General features: G+C 41.5%; 1 protein-coding gene and 1 pseudogene across 2 annotated transcripts, besides 4 other annotated features; one reads left to right on the top strand and one right to left on the bottom strand.

Annotated features, from left to right (window-relative positions):
- Window positions 1-678: 678 nt before the first annotated feature.
- Window positions 679-15,816, bottom strand: OR2AT4 (olfactory receptor family 2 subfamily AT member 4). Of its 2 annotated transcripts, none has more exons than NM_001405852.1 (2): window positions 15,754-15,802; window positions 679-9,290 (listed from the first exon to the last, which is right to left on the bottom strand). In NM_001405852.1, the coding sequence occupies exon 2, from the start codon at window positions 8,637-8,639 to the stop codon at window positions 7,677-7,679; it is 963 nt and encodes a 320-aa protein (NP_001392781.1). In that variant the 5' UTR covers window positions 8,640-9,290; window positions 15,754-15,802; the 3' UTR covers window positions 679-7,676. The 2 variants fall into 2 exon arrangements, with proteins under 2 accessions (NP_001392781.1, NP_001005285.1); NM_001005285.2 differs by having other exon boundaries at window positions 7,618-9,290; window positions 15,750-15,816.
- Window positions 15,661-16,176: a transcriptional cis regulatory region, noted in NCBI's record as "candidate enhancer chr11.4261 targeted for multiplex CRISPR interference". NCBI's record gives its function as "positively regulates OR2AT4 gene expression with high confidence in K562 cells {active_cell/tissue: K562}" and the evidence as "EXISTENCE:mutant phenotype evidence [ECO:0000015][PMID:30612741]".
- Window positions 18,786-19,985: an enhancer, noted in NCBI's record as "P300/CBP strongly-dependent group 1 enhancer chr11:74810905-74812104 (GRCh37/hg19 assembly coordinates)". NCBI's record gives its function as "activates an origin of replication core promoter dependent on BRD2, BRD4, P300/CBP, MED14 and CDK7 cofactors, with strong dependence on P300/CBP, by STARR-seq in HCT116 cells {active_cell/tissue: HCT116}" and the evidence as "EXISTENCE:reporter gene assay evidence [ECO:0000049][PMID:35650434]".
- Window positions 19,261-19,330: an enhancer, noted in NCBI's record as "active region_5262". NCBI's record gives its function as "activates an Ori minimal core promoter by ATAC-STARR-seq in GM12878 lymphoblastoid cells {active_cell/tissue: GM12878}" and the evidence as "EXISTENCE:reporter gene assay evidence [ECO:0000049][PMID:35858748]".
- LOC100421207 (FA complementation group L pseudogene) lies at window positions 19,388-20,058 on the top strand (annotated as a pseudogene).
- Window positions 19,601-19,670: an enhancer, noted in NCBI's record as "active region_5263". NCBI's record gives its function as "activates an Ori minimal core promoter by ATAC-STARR-seq in GM12878 lymphoblastoid cells {active_cell/tissue: GM12878}" and the evidence as "EXISTENCE:reporter gene assay evidence [ECO:0000049][PMID:35858748]".

Consider the following 21,175-nt stretch of genomic DNA (forward strand, 5'->3'; position numbering starts at 1 on the left):
TTGTTGGCCACATGTATGTATTCTTTTGAGAAGTATCTGTTCATGTCCTTTGCCCACTTTTTTCTTTTTTTTTTTTTTTTTGAGACAGAGTCTCACATTGTCGCCCAGGCTAGAGTGCAGTGGCATGATCTTGGCTCACTGCAGCCTCCGCCTCCCAGGTTCAAGTGATTCTCCTGCCTCAGCCTCCCGAGTAGCTGGGACTACAGGTGCCCACCACCACACCCAGCTAATTTTTTGTATTTTTAGTAGAGACGGGTTTCACCATGTTGGTCAGGCTGGCCTCGAACTCCTGCTTTGTCCACTTTTTAATGGGGTTATGATTTTCTTCAATGTATGCTATAATAAAATAAATAATTTTAATATTCTTTCATTTCCATGGTTACCTGACCTAGATTAGACAAATAGTAGGGCTTTAACTTTCTTTTTGTTGTCAAAATCTGGTGTTGGCATACCTTTTCTCTAATTTGAACTGGTATTGCTTATGTTTGATACAGCATTAAGGAATTTGATGATTTTTGTTTTCAAAAAAATGAAATTAAATTCACAAAAATGAAATTAATTAGTCATTTTTCAGAGAAATGACATTAAGTGCAATAATTTTATTTATCATAAAGATTTTGTACATCATTACAACATCATGTTGTAATGTTATAACATGTATAAACATTGAAAATCAACTTTAAATACACAATCCCATTTATAATAGCCACACACAAGCACAAGAAACCTAGGAATACACCTAACCAAAGAGGTGAAAGATCTCTACAAGAAGAACTCAAAACATTGCTGAAAAAACTATAGATGAAACAAAGAAATGGACAAACATTCCATGCTCATGAATTGGAAGAATCAACAACACTAAAATGACCATACTGCCCACAGCAATATACAGATTGAATGCTATTCCTCTCAAACTACCAACATCATTTTTTTCACAGAATTAGAAAAAAAGCTATTCTTAAATTCACATGGAACCAAAAAAGAGCCCAAATAGCCAAAGCAATCCTAAGCAAAAAGAACAAAGCTGGAGGCATCACATTACCTGACTTGAAACTCTAAGGCTACAGTAATCAAAACAGCATGATATTGGCATAAGAACAGACACATAGACCAATGGAACAGAATACAGAACCCAGAAATAAAGCTGCATACCTACAGCCATATGATCTTCAAAAAAGTCAGCAAAAATAAGTATGGGAAAAGGACTCCCTCTTCAATAAATAGTGCTGGGGTGGGGGAGTGGGGAGGGATAGCATTAGGAGATATATCTAATGTAAATGATGAGTTAGTGGGTGCAGCACACCAACATGGCACACGTATACATATGTAACAAACCTGCACGTTTTGCACATGTACCCTAAAACTTAAAGTATAATAAAATAAATAAATAAATAAATAAATAGTGCTAGGATAGCTGGCTAGCCATATGCAGAAGAATGAAACTGCACCCCTACCTTTCACCATAAACAAAAATTAACTCAAGATAGATTAAAGATTTAAATGTAAAGATCTCAAAGTATAAGAATCCTAGAAGAAAACCTAGGAAACACCATTCTAAATATTGGCCTTGGGAAAGAATTTATGACTAAGTCCTGAAAAACAACTGCAACAAAAACGAAAATTGACAAGTGGAACCTAATTAAACTAAACAGTTTCTGCACAGCGAAAGAAACTATCAAAAGAGTAAACAGACAACCTACAGAATGGGAGAAAATATTTGTAAACTGCCGGGTGCAGTGACTCACGCCTGTAATCCCAGAACTTTGGGAGGCGGAGGTGGAAGGATCCCTTGAGCTCAGGAGTTTGAGACACTTGGGCAACATAGAGAGAACCTGTCTCTACAGAAATTTAAAAATTAGCCAGGTGTGGTGGCACATGCCTGTAGCTCCAGCTACTCGGGAGGCTGGGGTGGGAAGATTGCTTAGGCCCAGGAGGTCAAGGTTGCAGTGAACTGAGATCACGCCACTGCCTTCCAGCCTGGGCGACAGAATAAGACTGTCTCAAAAAAGGAGGGTGGGGGAGGGGTGGGGAGAGAGAAGGAAAAGAAAGAAAAGAAAGAGAATATTTGCAAACTATGTATCTGACAAAGGTCTAGTATTCAGAATCTATAAGGAACTTAATTCAATAAGCAAAAACCAAATAATACCATTAAAAAGTGGGCAAAACACATAAACAGACACTTCTAAAAAGAAGACATATAAGCAGCCAACAGACATGAAAAAATGCTCAACATCACTAATCATCAGAGAAGTGCAAATCAAAACCATGAGATATTATCTCATACCAGTCAGAATGGCTATCATTAAAGTCAAAGAAGAACAGGTGCTGACCAGGCTGTAGAGAAAATGGAATGCTTATACACTGTTGGTGAGAATGTAAATTAGTTCAGCCACTGTGGAAAGTGGTTTGGCAATTTCTCAAAGAACATAAAATAGAGCTATCATTTGACCCAGCAATCTCATTACTGGGTATATATCCAAAAGAAAATACGTTATTCTATCAAAAGACACATGCACTCATATGTTCATTGCATTAGTATTCACAATAGTAAAAACATGGATTCAACCTAGGTGCCCATCAGCGGTGGGCTGGGTAAAGAAAATTGGTCCAAATATGGCCAGGCGCAGTGTCTCACGCCTGTAATCCCAGCACTTTGGGAGGCCGAGGCTGGTGGATCACCTGAGTTCAGGAGTTCGAGACCAGCCTGACCAACACAGAGAAACCCCGTCTTTACTAAAACTACAAAATTAGCTGGGCATGGTGGCACATGCCTGTAATCCCAGCTACTTGGGAGGCTGAGGCAGGAGAATCACTTGAACCTGGGAGGCGGAGGCTGTGGTGAGCTGAGATCGTGCCATTGCACTCCAGCCTGGGCAACAAGGCGAAACTCCGTCTCAAAAAAAAAAAAAGAAAAAAAAAGGAGAAAATTGGTCCATATACAGCATGAAATGCTACATAGCCATAAAAAAGAATGAAATCATGGATGCAGCTGGAGCCCATTATCCTAAGCGAATTAACACAGGATCAGAAAACCATGTACTGCATGTTCTCACTTATAAGTGGGAGCTAAACATTGGGTACTTATGCTCATAAAGATGGCAACAATAGACACTGGGGACTAATAGAGGGTGGAGGGAGGGTAGCGAGGTTTGTAAAACTACCTGCTGCGTACTATGCTCACTATCTGGGTGACGGGATCATTCATATCCCAAACCTCAGCATCATGAAATGTACCCATGTCACAAACCTGCATGTGTACCCCCTGAATCTAAAAAGTGGAAATTTTCTTACAAACTGGTGAAATTGAAGGGAGAAATGGACAAATCCATAATTATTGTTAGAAACTTTAATATTTCCCTTTCAGGAATTGATCAAGCAGATAGAAAATCAGTTAAGATATAGAAGGTCTAAACAGCACTATCAAACAACTAGACCTAATTGACATTTATAGAACACTCCACATAATAGCAGAATACACTTCCAAGGGTGCACAGAACATTCACCAAGGTAGGTCATATTTTAGGCCACTAAAAAATTTAAAAGAATAGGCCATTAAAAAAATTTAAAAGAATAGAAAAGCTTTTTAAACAATAGTAATCATACAAAGCATATTCTTGAACCATAAGGGAATTAAACTAGACAGGAGTAACAGAAAGTGATTGGGAAAATCTTCCAAATATTCTGAAATTAAATAAAAACACTTTGAAATAAGCATGGGTCAATTAGGATGTTTTAGGGGAAATTTAAAATACATTTGGAATAAAATGAAAATAAAAATGCAACATATTAAAATTCGTGTGAAGTTGCTAATGCAGGAGCTATTGGGAAATGTACAGACTTCAATGCTTACATTGAAAAATAAAAGTCTCGTATCAATGATCTAATCTCCCATGTCAGGAAATTAGAAAAATGATCAAATTAAACCCAAAGTATGTAGAAGGAAAAAAAATATAAAGATTAGAGGAAGAATCAATAAAATTGAAAACAGGAAAATGAGAAGAAACAAACTAAATGCTGATTCTTTGAAAAATCAGTAAATTGGTAAACCTATAGCTAAACTGACCAAGAAAAAATCACAGAAAACACAAATTGCCAATATTAGGAATGAAAGAGGAGACATCACAGACATTAAAAGGATAATAAGGGAACAGTACAAACAACTCTATGTTTATAAATTCTAAAATTTGGACAAAATGGACAAATTTCTTAAAAGGCAGAAATTATAAAGTTCATTCAAAAAGAAATAGATAATGGAAAAATTTCTATATCTATTAAATAGTTAATTTTGTAGTTAAAAACTTCCTGAAAGAAAATTCCAGGCCCTGGAAATTTTACAGGCAAATTCTACCAAATATTTAAGGAAGAAATAGCACCAATTCTATACAATGTTTTTGAGAATGTAGAAGAGACGGGAAAGCTTCCTAATTCATTTTATGAGGCCAGCATTTATCTAATACCAAACCAGACAAAGAAATTACAAGAAAACTACACTCTGGTATCTCTCATAAATATTGATGCAAAAATCCTGAACAAAATATTCACAAGTCAAATCTAGTAATATATAAAGGGCAAAACATGTCACAACCAAATGGGGTTCATCCCAGGAATGCAGTTTGTAATGAATAAAATTAAAGAGCTAAGTAAATGGAGAGATATATTATATTCATGGAATGGAAGACTCGACATTGTTAAAATGACAACTGTCCCAAATTTAATCTATAGATTTAACATAGTCCCTCCCCTCCCCAAATCCCAGTAACTTGGTTCTAAAATTTATATCAAAAAGCAAAGGAACTAGAATAACCAAACAACTGCAAAAAAATTAATAAAGTCAGAGGAGTCACATTATGGAATTTCAACATTGACTATAAAGCTACAGTATTCAAGACCGTGTGGTATCGGTAAAGGATAGACATATATATCAGTGGAACAGAATAGAGAGCCCACAAATAGATACACACAAATATAATCAACTGATATTTGACAAAAGTGTAAAGGCAATTTGATAGATAAAGAATGGTTTATAACAAATGGTGCTGGAATGATTGTATGTTCATATGCACACAAAAAAAGAATCTCAACCTAAACCTCACACCTTACCCAAGAATTAACTCAAAATTGTTCATAGAATGAAATCAAAAATAGAAAACTTCTAGAAACTTCGTTTTCTATAGGGCAAAATCTGCATGACCTTTGGTTTGGTGATGAGTATTTAGATATGTTATCAAACAGCATAATCCATAAGGGAAAAATGATAAGTTAGGCTTTATCAAAATTGAAAACCTCTGCTCTGCAAAAGACACTGTAAGCGAATTCAAAGGCTAGTCATTGACTGGGGAAACTACTTGTATATCAAATATCTAATAATGAATTTGTACCTAGAATATACAAAGAACACTTGAAATTCAATGGTATGAAAACAAACAACCTGGATTAAAAAGCAGGCAAAAGATCTGGACAGACTTCACCAAAAAAGATATATGGATAGAAAATGAGCACATGAAAGATGGTCAACACAATTAGTCATAGGGAAATGTAATTAAATTAAATTACAACCACAATAAGATACCACTACATACCTGTTAGAATGACATCCCCCACCAGAGTGGTTACATTTGTTACATTCAAGCCTACATTGACACATCATTATGACCCAAAGCCCATAGTATACACTTGGTGTAGTACATTCTATGAGTCTTGACAAATATATAACATGTATCCACCATTATAGTATCATACAGAATAGTTTCACTGTCCTAAAAGCCCTCCGTGTTCTGCCTATTAATCCCTCCCTTCTCCTAGTCTCCCTGGCAGCCCCTGAGCTCTTTACTGTCTTCATAGTTTTGCCTTTTCCAGAATGTCATACAGTTAAAATCATACATTATGTAACCTTTTTAGATTGGCTTCTTTCACTTAGCCATATGCATTTAAATTTACTATTGACTCTTCAAAAGTGTCAAGGTCATGAAAGATAAGGAAAGACCAATAAAATGTCAGGCAACTAAGAAGATATAATAAAATGCAATGTGGCATTCTGATTGGATCCTGGAATGGAAAGAAGACATTACTGGAAAAACTGGAGAAATTTGAATAAAGTCTCTAGTATAATTAATAGTACGTATTTTACAAATGTTAACTTCTTACTTTTGATAAATGTATCATGGTTATGTAAGATGTTGACACAGAGGAAGTTAGGTGAAGGATATATGGGAACTCTCATACTATCTTTGAAACTCTCTGTAAATATAAAACCATGCATGGTAAAATAAAATGATAAAAATGGTTTTGGTTATACGAACATATAATTTATCTAATATATATTAAAGAAGTAAAACTATAATATTCATGTTTTTAAAACTACTCTAGCTGGGGGTAGTGGTGCATGTGCCTGTGGTCCCAGCTACTCAGGGAGCTGAGGTGGGAGGATCACTTGAGCCCTAGCGGTCAAGGCTGCAATGAGCCGAGATAGCGCCACTGCACTCCAGCCTGGGTGACAGAGCAAGGCCTCTTCTCAGAACAGACAAACAACAACAACAACAAAAACTCCTCAATGTAGTTTAAGATGTGATTTTTCTTGTCCTTTTAATACATCCCTTTTAGGATGTATAGTCAAAACATTGTGTAAAAGTCACTTACAGTAATTTTCTTTGTGGTCATGCCACTAACTTGAGAGACAGCCAGGGTCAAGTGCTTCTGTTTATTTTAAATTGAGGGAATTGTGGGGTTTTTCTTTCTGATTTCTTTGAACTATGTAAAAATAATTACATATGTCTAGACTTGCTTCCATTCTGGTCCTCTCCTTCCTGTTCCTTGCCTCTCCTTATAGATAACCATCTTTATGAGTTCACATTTTCCCTCTAGTTTTTTCCTGAAATTTTAAGCAAACTATCTCCTTTCTTACAAAAACACTTTTCTGCAGCTTGCTTTTTTTCACTTAACACATATCCTAGAGATGATATCATATCAGTAGAGAGCTTCCTTATTTCCTTTTTATTACTGCATCATGCATTTTTATGGTTTATTCAATCAGTTCCCTGTATAGTGATGAATACGTAACCTAATGAATGATTGATGGTGACTCCTCGGGATAGATCCCTAGAAGTGATACTGCTGAGTCAAAGGGTAAATGCATATGTAATTTTGGTAGGTATTGCGGTAGTGTTATACCAGTTTGCATCCTCACAAGCAAGTTATAAAAGTTCTGTTTTTCTACATGCATATTGTCAAAATATTGGATTTTTGCTAATCTGCTAATCTGATTAAGTGAAAAATAACATTTCAGCACAATTTAAATTCGTATTCTTTTTATATAGTAAATACTCATTATTTAAAGGCCACTGCATTTTTTTTTATTTGTCTACACATATATTTTGCCCATGTTTTTATTGAAATGTTTATTTCAATCTTCTACATTCTTTGTATAATATGAATATTTGCCTTTCCCTGTGATACGTTTTTTATTTGTTTTTTGACTTTGCTTTTAAGAATTTTTTGCCATGAAGATTTTTTTTTTATTTTAGTAAAGGTTTCTTGAATTACTAAGTAGTAAAATTTTATACAACAACTTAAGATTCCAATAAAAATTAACATTATTTCATTATCATGTATTGAGTCCTTTCTCTGTGCTAAGCACTGTTATTTGGTGTCCTGGAAGCAGAGTTAGCTGCATTTAAAGGTCAAATGCTCCTGTCACAGCCTGGGTCTTGAGACATGATTTTGGTGATGGCTGCCTTTACATCCCTGTTTCTCAGCGTGTAAATGAGGGGGTTGAGAATTGGTGTGAGAATGGCATATACCACATTGCCCATGATATGGAAGTCAAGGGGCAGGTCAGCCCTGTAGGCCACGTAGGCTATGGCAATAGATGAGTAGTAGGTGCCCACGACCAGAAGGTGGGAGCTGCAGGTGGAGAAGGCTTTTGCCCGTCCTTCTAGGGAACTGATGCGAAGCACTGAGGCCAGGATGTGGACATAGGAGAGAAGCACCAGGAGAAGGGGGAGGAAGGACACCACCATGGCGATGCAGAAGCCCATGAGGGTCTGGGGGGTGGTGTCAGAGCAGGAGGCCTGGACCACAGCCAGATGATCACAGAAGCAGTGGTAGATGTAGGCAATGCTGTTATATGCCATCTGGGAGGTCCTTACTACTGCTGGGATGGGCAGGAGGAGGGCAGTTAGCCAGGCACTGGCTGCCAAGGTAGCATTGGTCTGTGGGTTCATGAGGACAGGGTAGTGCAGTGGGTGGCAGATAGCCACATAGCGGTCATAGGCCATGACCACCAGGATGAAGGCTTCTGAACATGTAAAACTTTGGAAGAGGTACATCTGCAGTAAGCAGGAAGAAAAGCTGAGGAAGCGGTCCCCAAGCAAGAATAAGGACAGCATCTTGGGGACAGTGGTTGTGGTGAAAAGGATGTCCAAGGTGGAGAGATTGATCAGAAAGAAGTACATGGGCTTGTGGAGGCTGGGCTCTGCCACCACGGCCACCAGGATCAGGGCATTACCCATCAGGATGAGAAGGTAGAAGAGGAGGAAAATAAAAAACACAGGGAGGAAGAAGGTCTCTGGCAGAGAGGGGATGCCCAATAGATAGAAGACGGGTGAGCCATCCACTGATTCATTACAGGCTGTGGCATCCATTGTGAGACACAGCTGGATTTCTCAGAGATGGGCAGCTGGAACATCTAGACATTGGAAACATCTGGAAACCATAGAAACAAAGGATTCTGGAGTGATAATGCTATAATGTTTACTCTGTAGGTAATATAAGCAGAATTATTTACAACCAACTGTAGAGGACTGATGAGGGGCTATGGTATTGACTTTTGCCATGTGAACGCAAAATTTGTCAAATATTGATTATTAATTAATTAATAACCAACCAAATAGAAGTCTGTATGCTTTGTTTAGGTGATGAAGTGATCAAATTGAAGAAGGCAGGCAAAGTTCCTGTCTTCCCAGAGTTTATATTTTACTGGGAAAATCAGATCTAAACAGTTGATTGTTGAATTATAATTGTGAAAGTGCTTTGGAAAGGCTTCTTCTGGTCTTCATCTTAGTTTCCATGCTGTGTGGTTTAAGTTGATGTCAGATCTCATAAATCAAGTCCTTAAGCTCATGTCTCTACTTTTGTACTCACTCAAAGTTCCATCATGTTCCATTGAGGGGCTTCTTTCTCCAAGGCTGTGTGTACTATGCAGCTGCTCACACTCTTATTAAGTTTCTTTCTTGTATGCCTTGACTAGTGGTTCTTTCTGACTCCATTTAAGCTAGGTGTCTGGACTTCTGCTCCTGTATTGGATATAATAGACCATGATAGCCCAACACTTTCACTGCAATGATTAGGGAAACCTGGATAAATTACACAAATCACATTTTTAAACAAATTGAGGAATATGGGTGCCATAAGGATGAGATGAAGGCAAACTCCAATGGGTGGGGACCCTCCAAAGTTAACTAATAATCACCAGCTCTTTTGTTCTCTGGGAATATTTGATTTGGGGACCATGATGTGGCTTAGACTTGGACCAGGCAGAGAGTCATAGATGAGAGAAAGAGAAACCAGTAAGACTTGTGATAGTCAAAAAAGGCTTACAAAACATACTGGAAATTTGAGGCACTCTAAATGCATAACAAGTTTTCCCTGTGGGACATCTTCTGAATTCTGGCTATGCAAGGGAGGCTAGAAAGCTGTGCTGAGGGCCTCTAAAAGACAAAACAAAATCTCCCATGATCCCATGATGCTTAAGAGAATAGAGGAAGAGGGATTTCCTCACACACACACTGGTATTTCCTCTCAAAACATTTTACAAAGATTTGAAGCTATGTGTGTATGTAGTGGGCGGGGGGAAAGGAGGGATGGGGAATGCGGCTAACGAATTAAGCTCCAAACCACCAAAGGGTAGATGCAAATCTCCCACACTCCTTCCGGGGTGAGGAGATAAGGATCAACCAGACTATCAGCCCACAACTCAGGAGGGTCATACCTTAAGAACAAGAACAAACCAAAGTTGGACTAAATTTTACTAGAACTGAAACTCAGCCCTAACCTAACTCAAGCCTTAACTGGCTTTAGGTAGCCAGCCTACCTTACTCTACCTGCCTAACAAAGAGAAGGGAGGAATCTGTCTGATGAGAGACATCATCTGGGGCCTCTGTGAATCTAATATAAATAATATTCGGTGCACAACACGAATTATTGCAAAAGGCAGGAAAATGTGACCAACAATCAAGAGGGAAAATACACAATAAAAGTTGACATACAGATGATCCCATTACCTGAGTTAGCAAACAAGGACTCTAGTATAACTATGTTTATATATTAAAGAAAATAGAGGAAATGTTGACAAAATGGATTTTAAAATGGGCAATTTCAATAGAAAATTGGAATCTATTTTAAAAAGAACCAAGCAAATATTCTAGAACAGAAATATCCAATATTTGAAATTAAGAACTCACTGGATAGGTATAATAGCAAACTGGACACAATAGAAGACAGGATTAGAGACCTGCAAAATAGATCAGTAGAAAATGTCTAAAATTAAGCCCAGAGATAGAAGAGTATATCTTCTGTATACTTATTTGATATTTGATACGGTATGACTTAATTGATATTAAGTGACAGGCAAAACTAATCTATGATATTATAAATCAGTACAGTGATTGTCTATGGGTGTGAGGACTGACAAGAAGCAGGCAAGAGCATACTTTCTGGGGTGATAGAAATGTTCTATGTATTGAGTTGAGTTTTGGTTACATGTATGTTTACGAAAGTTTATTGAATTGTATACATAAGATCTGCTCATTATCTTCTGAGTAAATTTTACTTCGCTCAAAAAAGACAATAATAAATACAATACAAAGAGAATAAGAAAAGGCAGGAACCAGACTAGGAGAAGATATTTTCCTATTTTCAATACATTTATCAAAGGCCATGTATCCAGTATATATAAAAACCTTGACAAGTAAGAAAAAGACAGATGACCTAATGGACAAATGGGTGAAAGACTTGAATAGGTGGGCACTTTACAAAAGAGAACATCCAAATGGCCAATAAGCATATGAAAAAATTAGCCATCTAGAGATGTAAATTAAAATACAGGATGTTAATAATACATACTCACTAAAATGGCTAAACTTAAAAGGACCGCAAGTGTTGGTAAGATATGTAGTAACTGGTACCTTCATACATTGATGGTAACTAGTACAACCACTTCGGATAACAGTGTGGCAACATCTTCTTAAACTTATGACTTAGCAATTTCACATCAGGATATATAACCAAGAGGTAAGACAAGGTATTCAGCTATTTTTGTTTGTTCATTTGTTTAAGGTACTCACGTGCAATAAAGCCCAAAAATATTTGGGATAGATAATATATAGATATCTATAGATATAAATATAAATCTATGTAGAGATATAGATCAGCTAGTGATGCAGCTAAAGATATAGCACATTTCCAGCAACCCAGAAAGCTCCCTTGCACCTGATCCAATAAATTCTGCTACCCCCAATGTAGCTATTGTTGTGACTTCTGTCACCATGGATTAAATTTTTCTGTTTCTGATGTTCATCTAAATGGCTTTTGTTAGGCTGGGCATGGTGGCTCACACCTGTAATCCTAATACTTTGGGAGGCTGAGGCAGGCAGATCACAGGAGTTTGAGACCAGCCTGGGCAACATGGCAAAACCCTGTCTCTACAAAAAAATTTAAAAATGAAAAATAAGATTAAAAAAAAAAAGATAAGGTCAGGTGCAGTGGCTCATGCCTGCAATCCCAGCACTTTGGCAGGCTGAGGCGGGCGGATCATGAGGTCAGGAGTTTGAGACCAGCCTGACCAACATGGTGAAACCTCGTCCGTACTAAAAATAGAAAAATTAGCTGGGCATGGTAGCACACGCCTGTAATCCCAGCTACTCAGGAGGCTGAAGCAGGAGAATCGCTTGAACCTGGGAGGTGGAGGTTGCAGTGAGCCGAGATCACGTCATTGCACTCCAGCCTGGCAACAGAGCAAGACTCTGTCTCAAAAATAAATAAATAAATGTTTTTTGTCATATTACAATAAAAGGAATGGCAAAAGATGCCTTTTGTGAGAGGACTTGCTTCCAGGTTGGAATCTAAGTTAAAGGTGTATTCTACCCAATAGCAGAAACAGAGATTGGAGGATGTCCCTCTGTAAGAGCATGACTTTTCATCTCTCCTATCAGCTACGCTGTTCAGCAGGTGTTTCTGATTAACCATTTCATTATCACTATCCTGTAGTCTTCCCTAGCCCCAGATAAGACAGTACTACAGGAGTCTGAAAACTTGGGAGTCTTGGGAGCCATTGTTGCTAGAGAACAAGTCGTCTTGTGACAAGTGCCCAAAGGCAGAAGACCCCATTCTAGAGGTTGTTCTCCCCCTGTCAAGGAAGAAGAGATGTGTGCTTTTGTCCTCCCACAGAACCGGAGATCTTTAACTGAGGGAGAATATTGACTGCTCTACTCTGTTGGGGATGTCTCTCTGAATAAACAATCCAGGAGGAAGTTCACGTTTATGTTTACATCATTGTCTCTTGACCCTGATGATTCCAAGATGATTACCTGATGATCTGATGATTACCTTCTCTCTGATTTTCCCTATTTTTCTTACCTCTAATAAAATATCTCTCATGCCATTGAATCATAAAAAATTCCAAACCTGGAAATATCCAGGCGGCTTTTCCTTTTCTCTTTTCTTTTTTTTCTTTTTCTTTTTCTTTTTTTTTTTTTTTTTTTTTTTTTTTTTGAGACAGAGTCTTGCTCTGCCACCCAGGCTGGAGTGCAGTGGTACAAGCTCGGCTCACTGCAACCTCTGCCCTCCCGGGTTCAAGTGATTCGTGTGCCTCAGCCTCCTGAGTAGCTGGGATTACAGGCATGTGCCATCATGCCCAGCTAGTTTTTGTATTTTTAGCAGAGACGGGGTTTCACCATGTTGGCTGGGCTTGTCTCGAACTCCTGACCTCAAGTGATCCACCTGCCTCAGCCTCCCAAAGAGCTGGGATTACAGGCGTGAACCACCGCACCCAGCCAGCTTTTTCTTTTAATATAGAAAGGGCAAAAGACAAAAAGATCCAGGGCTTTCCCATACTGTCATGGCCGGCGAGCCACAGAGATAGGACTGGAGCCCAGGCTCTAACCCCCAGAGCAGCATTCTTCTATCGTCGGTTCCCTGGAGAATCTGGAAGCTCAAATTTTCATGAGGGGAGAGACTGGGGCAAAGGTTTTCTCTTTCCTTCTCCATATATTTGGCTGATATTGTCAGCAGCAAACTACAAATTTCAGAGTTTGTTCTTTAGTTTCCTAAGTGTGGGGTGGGCTGGTTTTCTGTCAGAGAGTGAAGGCAGGTATAATGTCTTTCTAAAAGACATATGAGGCAGGGCACAGGGGTTCACACCTGTAATCCCAGAACTTTGGGAGACCAAGGTGGGAGAATTGCTTGAGACCAGGAGTTTGAGGCCAGCCTGGGCAACATAGCAAGACCCTGTCTCTACAAAAAAATTTTAAAACTAGCCAAGTACAGTGGCTTGTGCCTGTGGTCTCACTACTCAGAAGGCTGAGGCAGGAGGATCACTTGAGCCCAGGAGTTCAAGACTGCAGTGAGCTATAATCATGCCACTGCACCCCAGCCTGGGCAACAGAGGGAGACCCTGTCTTTTAAACAAAACAAATAAACAAAAAGACACATGGGACAGACCACTCCATTGTGAATGCTCCCTTGAAAGAGTATTCTACAGTTCGGCCCCAATTACACAAGCAGGAAAGCAAAACTGCTGCACCTCCACTTAAGAGATAACCCTCAGTTAACAGACCCAACCTGCCTAAGCAAATCACCAGGTTTTTCTAATACCCAAAGAGATGCAAACTACCTTATTCTGAACGTTGTTACAGCTCAGAGAAGTCAATTATGGATTGAATGCCACCGAGTTAGGCTGAATTGGGGTTTGAGGGGAGAAATTCAGAGCCGTCAAGCCTGACTGAGCCTCTCTTCCCACCTCCTCCCTCACTTCTATTAAACAGCAGGGAGACAGATGCTGAGTCTGAAGTCCAGAAATAGTGTCTTTTCAAGGTCAACCAACAAATTCATAGCAGAAGTAGGTTTTAAAGCCGGTGTCCTGGCTCCCACCCAGTCTTTGTAGGATGTTTCATGAGAGAGGATGATTCCTTAGCCTGCTATTCAAAGCCTGTCTTCTTGCAGCCTTGTTTCTCCTTATTCTAGTCAAATGGCAACTCCTTGCTCTTGCCTTGTGCTTCTGCCAAATTCAGCTCAAATATTACTTCCTCCAAGAGATCTTCTATGGTCCTGGCTGGCTCAGGAGCCTCTTTCCTGGGCTCTTGAAGTTCCTGTGCTTCTGTTTGTCATTATTATGATTACACCAGGTTGTCTCTGTCTATTTATGTGTCCACCACACCAGGAGCACTTTCAGAGCAGTAATGGGGTCTGATCGTTTCTATTTGATACTGCACCATCCTTCCCAGGAGCTTAGTGCTCTGGAATGCAGCTTTCCAACTTGCCTTGTTTTGCTGATAAATCATCAAATAGGAATGAAGGGGCCATTAGTGATTAAATAGTTTTCACCTAACCTCTTTTTTTTTTTTTTTTTTGAGATTGAGTCTTGCTCTATCACCCAGGCTGGAGTGCAGTGGCACGATCTCGGCTCACTGCAACCTCTGCCTCCCGGGTTCAAGCGATTCTCATGCCTCAACCTCCCGAGTAGCTGGGATTACAGGCGCTTGCCACCATGTCCGGCTAATTTTTGTATTTTTAGTAGAGATGGTGTTTCACCATGTTGGCCAGGCTGGTCTTGAAGTCCTGATCTCAAGTGATCTGCCCGCCTCGGCCTCCCAAAGTGCTGGCATTTCACCTAACCTCTTTATTATATAGATGGGGACAGAAAAGGGAGTCCCAGAAATGGGCTGTGACTTTCCCAAGGTCACACAGTAAGTGGGTGATAGAACTAGAACTAGACTGTCAACAGAGCTAGATTATCAACTCACCTTGAGCTCTCCTGGACCAGCTCTGCCACTCTCTTGCTGTGATGCTGGGTCTCTGAGCCTCAGTTTTCCCATCTATAAAATGAGGACTTTGGAAGCAATGATCTCCAGCTTGATAAATATTTTGAGTATCTACTCTGTGTTTAGATAAATGAGAGATTCGAAGACAGATGTGTCATGGCCTCAGCCTCTTAGGAAGGAGAGCAAGGGCGCTCTCATTTGTTAAGCTTCTGTTGCCTGCTTGATTCTTTACAGTCATTACACATCATTACGACGCCCAAACTCATGCAGTTCTCTCATGATATTCTCACCATCCTGCACTGTTTCCATAGAAAAGGAGCAGGATATACGTGAAGCACAGAATCTAGGTCTATTAACTTTGCAGTTAGAAAGGCCTGAGTTTCCTTCCTGGCTCCACCACTTTGTGCTTTCCTCCAATGGACTGCAATTCCCTCACAAATTATTCCCATTTCTCTTATCGTCATCAGCTTTGCCTCCTTGTGAGGAATTCTCTTCCAAGATCATTAGCCTCTTGCTTGTGACTGCACAGCCCTGCCCCTGCCTGCGAGGGTGTCTGGTCTACACTCACCCAGGCTGACTGCGTGGTTGACTTGGATCCTGGGACCCTGACATTCCCAGGATCTTTACTGTGGTTGTACATGCCCCCAACCTCCCTGAGCCTATCTCCCCATCCCAGTCTCTGCCTGCTCTGCGCACTCCATCCCCAGCCCAGCTCACCTACCAATCCTGGTCCGCCTTGATGTCTTGTGTAGAGTCGTCACAGTTGGCCTTGGTTGGGAAGAGCCAGGTAGAAACTCAACCATGGCCCTTTAAACCCTCGGGCCCCTCTCTGCAACCAGGCCTGCTGGGGCTCTCTCCCCACAAGAAGGCTCACCCGTGGGACCAGATAACTGCCAGTCAGCTGAGAACAACTTCCGAGGGTGGAGTGGGGGACTTTGTTCTGGGCTTTGCTGATAATGAAAACAACATCATTAACAACCCTCATGGGTCCCAGAACTTTATCACCAGTATTATTCCTGTTTTCCCATCTGGTCCTCACAATAGCCAGGGAAGACAGGCAGAGTCAGGATTATTTCCACTATTTTACATTTGAGGAAACTGAGATCTAGAGAAGTGAGGTGACTTGCCCAAGGTCATATGAGTGGCTGGTGGCAGAGCTGGGATTTGTACCCAAGGCTCCAATTCTGGTTCAGTGGTTCAGCAACATGTTATCTAATGACTAAGACCCGAGTTATTCCCAGTAATATGACTTTGAACAAATCCCTTAACCTCACTGGGTCTTCATTTTGTCATCTGTGGAATGGGTATAACGACACTAACTCTCTCACAGGATAACTGGGCAGGTTGAGGTGCTTCACCCAGTTCCTGCCACTTATTAGGCATTCAATAAGTGGGAGCTATTATTTTAATGGACCAAAGCAGTAAAGCCTTGTTCAATGAGTATGTGATACTTCCGCTGCTGTGCAATGAGAACTTGCAAAGGTTTTGTGGAAAGAATGTGAGGGTGGAAGTCTCTGCCCCAACCCCATACAGGACAAAGTCAAGAGTCACAGACTCTTCCTGCCTCAATCTTTCTGATTCTCTCCTTTGGCTCCAGTGTTCTGTTTCTGACTTGACTGACTTGGTCACTCCTACTAATACTCATAAAATTTTAATTTTTTTTTAATTTCACAAGTAATAAACAGAACCTCATTGTAGAACATTTTAATCAATACAGAGCTTTACTGAGTCAAAAGTGAAAGTTCTAGGCCGGGTGTGGTGGCTCACGCCTGTAATCCCAGCACTTTGCCGGGCCGAAGGGGGAGGATCTCTTGAGTCCAGGAGTAAGAGAGCAGCTTGGACAACTGGCAAAACTCTATCTCTACTGAAAAATACAAAAAAATTAGCTGGGCATGGTGGCATGCACCTGTAGTCTCAGTGAGAGGTGACAGCGTGCTGGCAGTCCTCACAGCCCTCGCTCGCTCTCGGTGCCTCCTCTGCCTGGGCTCCCACTTTGGCGGCACTTGAGGAGCCCTTCAGCCCACCGCTGCACTGTGGGAGCCCCTTTCTGGGCTGGCCAAGGCCGGAGCCGGCTCCCTCAGCTTGCAGGGAGGTGTGGAGAGAGAGGCGCGAGTGGGAACCAGGGCTGCGCCTGCGCTTGCAGGCCAGCTGGAGTTCTGGGTGGGCGTGGGCTTGGCGGACCCCACACTCAGAGCAGCCGGCCGGCCCTGCTGTCCCCAGGCAATAAGAGGCTTAGCACCCGGGCCAGCGGCTGTGGAGGGTGTACTGGGTCCCCCAGCAGTGCCAGCCCACTGGCGCTGTGCTCGATTTCTCTCTGGGCCTTAGCTGCCTTCCCGCGGGGCAGGGCTCGGGACCTGCAGCCCGCCATGCCTGAGTCTCCCACCCCCTCCCTGGGCTCCTGTGCGGCCCCCGCCTCCCCGATGAGTGCTGCCCCGTGCTCCACAGCACCCAGTCCCATCGACCACCCAAGGGCCGAGGAGTGTGGGCGCATGGCTCCGGGACTGGCAGGCAGCTCCACCTGCAGCCCCGGTGCGGGACCCACTGGGTGAAGCCAGCTGGGCTCCTGAGTCTGGTGGGGACGTGGAGAACCTTTATGTCTAGCTCAGGGATTGTAAATACACCAATCGGCACTCTGTATCTAACTCAAGGTTTGTAAACACACCAATCAGCACCCTGTGTCTAGCTCAGGGTTTGCGAATGCACCAATGGACACTCTGTATCTAGCTGCTCTGGTGGGGCCTTGGAGAATCTTTGTGTCTAGCTCAGGGATTGTAAACGCACCAATCAGCGCCCTGTCAAAACAGACCACTGGGCTCTACCAATCAGCAGGATGTGGGTGGAGCCAGGTAAGAGAATAAAAGCAGGCTGCGCGAGCCAGCAGTGGCAACCCGCTCAGGTCCCCTTCCACACTATGGAAGCTTTGATCTTTCGCTCTTTGCAATAAACCTTGCTACTGCTCACTCTTTGGGTCCACACTGCTTTTATGAGCTGTAACACTCACCGCGAAGGTCTGCAGCTTCACTCCTGAAGCCAGCGAGACCACAAGCCCACCAGGAGGAACGAACAACTCCAGATGCGCTGCCTTAAGAGATGTAACACCACGAAGGTCTGCAGCTTCACTCCTGAAGCCAGTGAGACCACTAGCCCACCGGGAGAAACGAACAACTCCAGATGCGCCGCCTTAAGAACTGTAACACTCCCCGCGAAGGTCTGCAGCTTCACTCCTGAGCCAGTGAGACCACCAACCCACCAGAAGGAAGAAACTCCCAACACATCCGAACGTCAGAAGGAACAAACTCCAGACGCGCCACCTTAAGAGCTGTAACACTCACCGCGAGGGTCCGTGGCTTCATTCTTGAAGTCAGTGAGACCAAGAACCCACCAATTCCGGACCCATCAGCTACCAGGGAAGCTGAGGCAGGAGAAACACCTGAGCCTGGGAAGTTCAGGCTGCAGTGAGCCACAGCTGTGCCTCTGCACTCTAGCCTTAGCAATGGAGTGAGACCCAGGAAGGAAGGGAGTGGTGGAAGGGGGGAAGGGGGGAAGGGAGGGAAGGGAGTGGGGGAAGGGAGGGAGGGAGGGAAGGGAGTGGGGGAAGGGAGGGAGGGAAGGGAGGAAGGGAGGGAAGGGAGTGGGGGAAGGGAGGGAGGGAGGGAAGGGAGGAAGGGAGGGAAGGGAAGGGAGGGAGGGGAGGGAGAGAAAGAGAGAGAAAGTTTTTTTTCACACCAATTCTTACCCATATTTTTCCTCCAGTCTTAACAATGGAGTGAGATCCTGTCAGAAAGAAAGGAAGGAAGAAAGAAAAGAAAGAAGAGTTAGTTAGTCTTCTTCACACCAATTCTTACCCACATTTTTCCTCCATGCTCCAGAAGTAAACATTATTACTGATTTGGTGTGTTTCTTCCAGACTTTTCTAAGCGCATGTGTTTGTGTATGTGTGTATGGTTTTGCTTTTCTTTTAATGTAAATTGAATCATTCTGTATTTATTGTATAGCATATTTTAATTTAATAAGTCTAGGAATTTTTCTGTGTCTGATCTACTTCATTTTTTTGTATCTGATATTTGGCATTTTGTAGTACAGATACAACATAGTTTGTCTAATAACTCATCTGTTGATGAACATTTAAGTTCTATCTCATTCTTGCTATTATGAAAACTATTATAATTAATTTCCTTTTAACATGCATTTGGGGTCACATGTGCTCAAATATTTCTCGGAGATAGACAGATCCTTAGAAGTAGAACTTCTGGGCCAAGCAGTCAGCACATTTTCAAATGGAATGGGGTGTGCATGTGCAGGGACTATCCCAGCTTCAAACCCAGAAGCTTTGAGGATGCTGAGTCACAGTGATGACTGAGATGACCCTGTTACACCCGGCCTGATGCTTCTGCCCAGGACCAGGGGAAAACCCATGCATGAAGGGTTCATTTCAGCCTGCAGAAGAGACTTCCCTATTAGACCTCTGCAGACTGTAGACTTTCAACTGCAGACTGGGAGGTTACTAAGTCCTTAGCAGCTGAGTACAGAACACGATGGAAATGAAAACATGGTACAACAGAGGTTACAGCCCTCTCCTGACCTGATAAACTTCATGATGGAGCTAAAGATGGTTTGGGAAGTTTCTTTGAATCACAAGCAGAACTGTATGTGCTGTCTCCTCCTGTCTGGATCTACTCACTACTTGCTAAAGAGAAGAATTTTGGTTTGGGATAAATTTATGTGGATCTTCGCTTTGGTGCCATAAAGGTAAGTGCTAAAGATGTTTCTGGGGGAGAAGACTAAGCTCTCTTAAGTTAAAGGCAAAGAATCCTGCAAAATCACCAGGTGGTTAGGTGGATTCTTTTGTTCTGTTTTCCATTTCTTAGACGTGATGAGATCCCTAATAAGCCTTAAAAAGCCATCTTTTGGCGGCATAAGAATGACTTAAGGCTTTCGAGATGTTATGTATGAAAGTAACTAAAAGACTTGGGCACTTGGGCTGAAATAACCCATATGGAGTGCAACAGTTAAGAGAATTGCAATAAGTAGGAGAAAACAAACAAAAACTAAAATTTAGAATCCTTTTGGATTTCCTATTTTGTTTTACTAAAGAGAATGAACCAAAATAGAGAGTAAAACTGTTGGCTGAGATTTCTTTGTATAAAAAGCCAACATTCTAAGACTTACTTTTATAACATTATGGGATAAAATAGGATTTCTTTTATTACCTCTAAGAATAAAACTCTCCTCATCCTGCTAGGAAATGACTGGCTTTTCTATAGCCATAGTAACAATGATCAGAACTTGTTTAAAACATGCTTAACTGGCTGGGCATGGTGGCTCACACCCGTAATCTCAGCACTTTGGGAGGCCAACGTGGGTGGATTGCCTGAGCTCAGGAGTTTGAGAACAGCCTGGGCAACATAGCTGAAACCCCGTCTCTACGAAAATACAAAAAAAAAAAAAAAAAATTAGCTGGGCGTGGTGGTGTGCACCCGTGGTCCCAGCTACTCAGGAGGCTGAGGCATGAGAATTGCTTGAACTCAAGAGGTGGAGGTTGCAGTGAGCCGAGATTACACCACTGCGCTCCAGCCTGGGCAACAGAGTGAGACTCTGTTTCCCAAAAACCTCAAAAAACAAACAAAGAAACATACTTAATTGTTTAATCACAGCTTTGAGCCAGTACCCACACTTCTGAAAGTCAGGGAATCTAAAAGCCACTCAGCAATGGTTTAACTCCAGTAACCACACTTCCATAGCTAAAAGCAAACTAATCCCTAAACACTCCCACCTTTGAAAGTCCACCAACCCCAGATCTCCACATTTTCCACAGCCCTGTGTAAGATCAGCTCCCTGTGTTTCTCAAAAACAGACTATATCATAAACCATAGCATCCTGTGCTTACACTAGTGATACATTCAGCCTTTTGTTTCTGATATTGAGTGGTGATCTGTTCCTTTAACATTTCTTATTTATTTCCATATGGTCTATAGTAATGTCCCCTCTTTCACTTCTGATTTTAGTAATGGGAGTCTTATCTCTTTTTATATTGGTAGGCTAAAGTTTTAACAGTTTTATTGATATAGTCAAGGAACCAACTTTGGTTTTGTTGATTTTCTTTATTTTTCTATTCTCTATTTCATTTATTTCTGTTCTAATCT

This window comes from Homo sapiens, chromosome 11, assembly GCF_000001405.40.
Source record: "Homo sapiens chromosome 11, GRCh38.p14 Primary Assembly".
Classification (NCBI taxonomy): domain Eukaryota; kingdom Metazoa; phylum Chordata; class Mammalia; order Primates; family Hominidae; genus Homo; species Homo sapiens.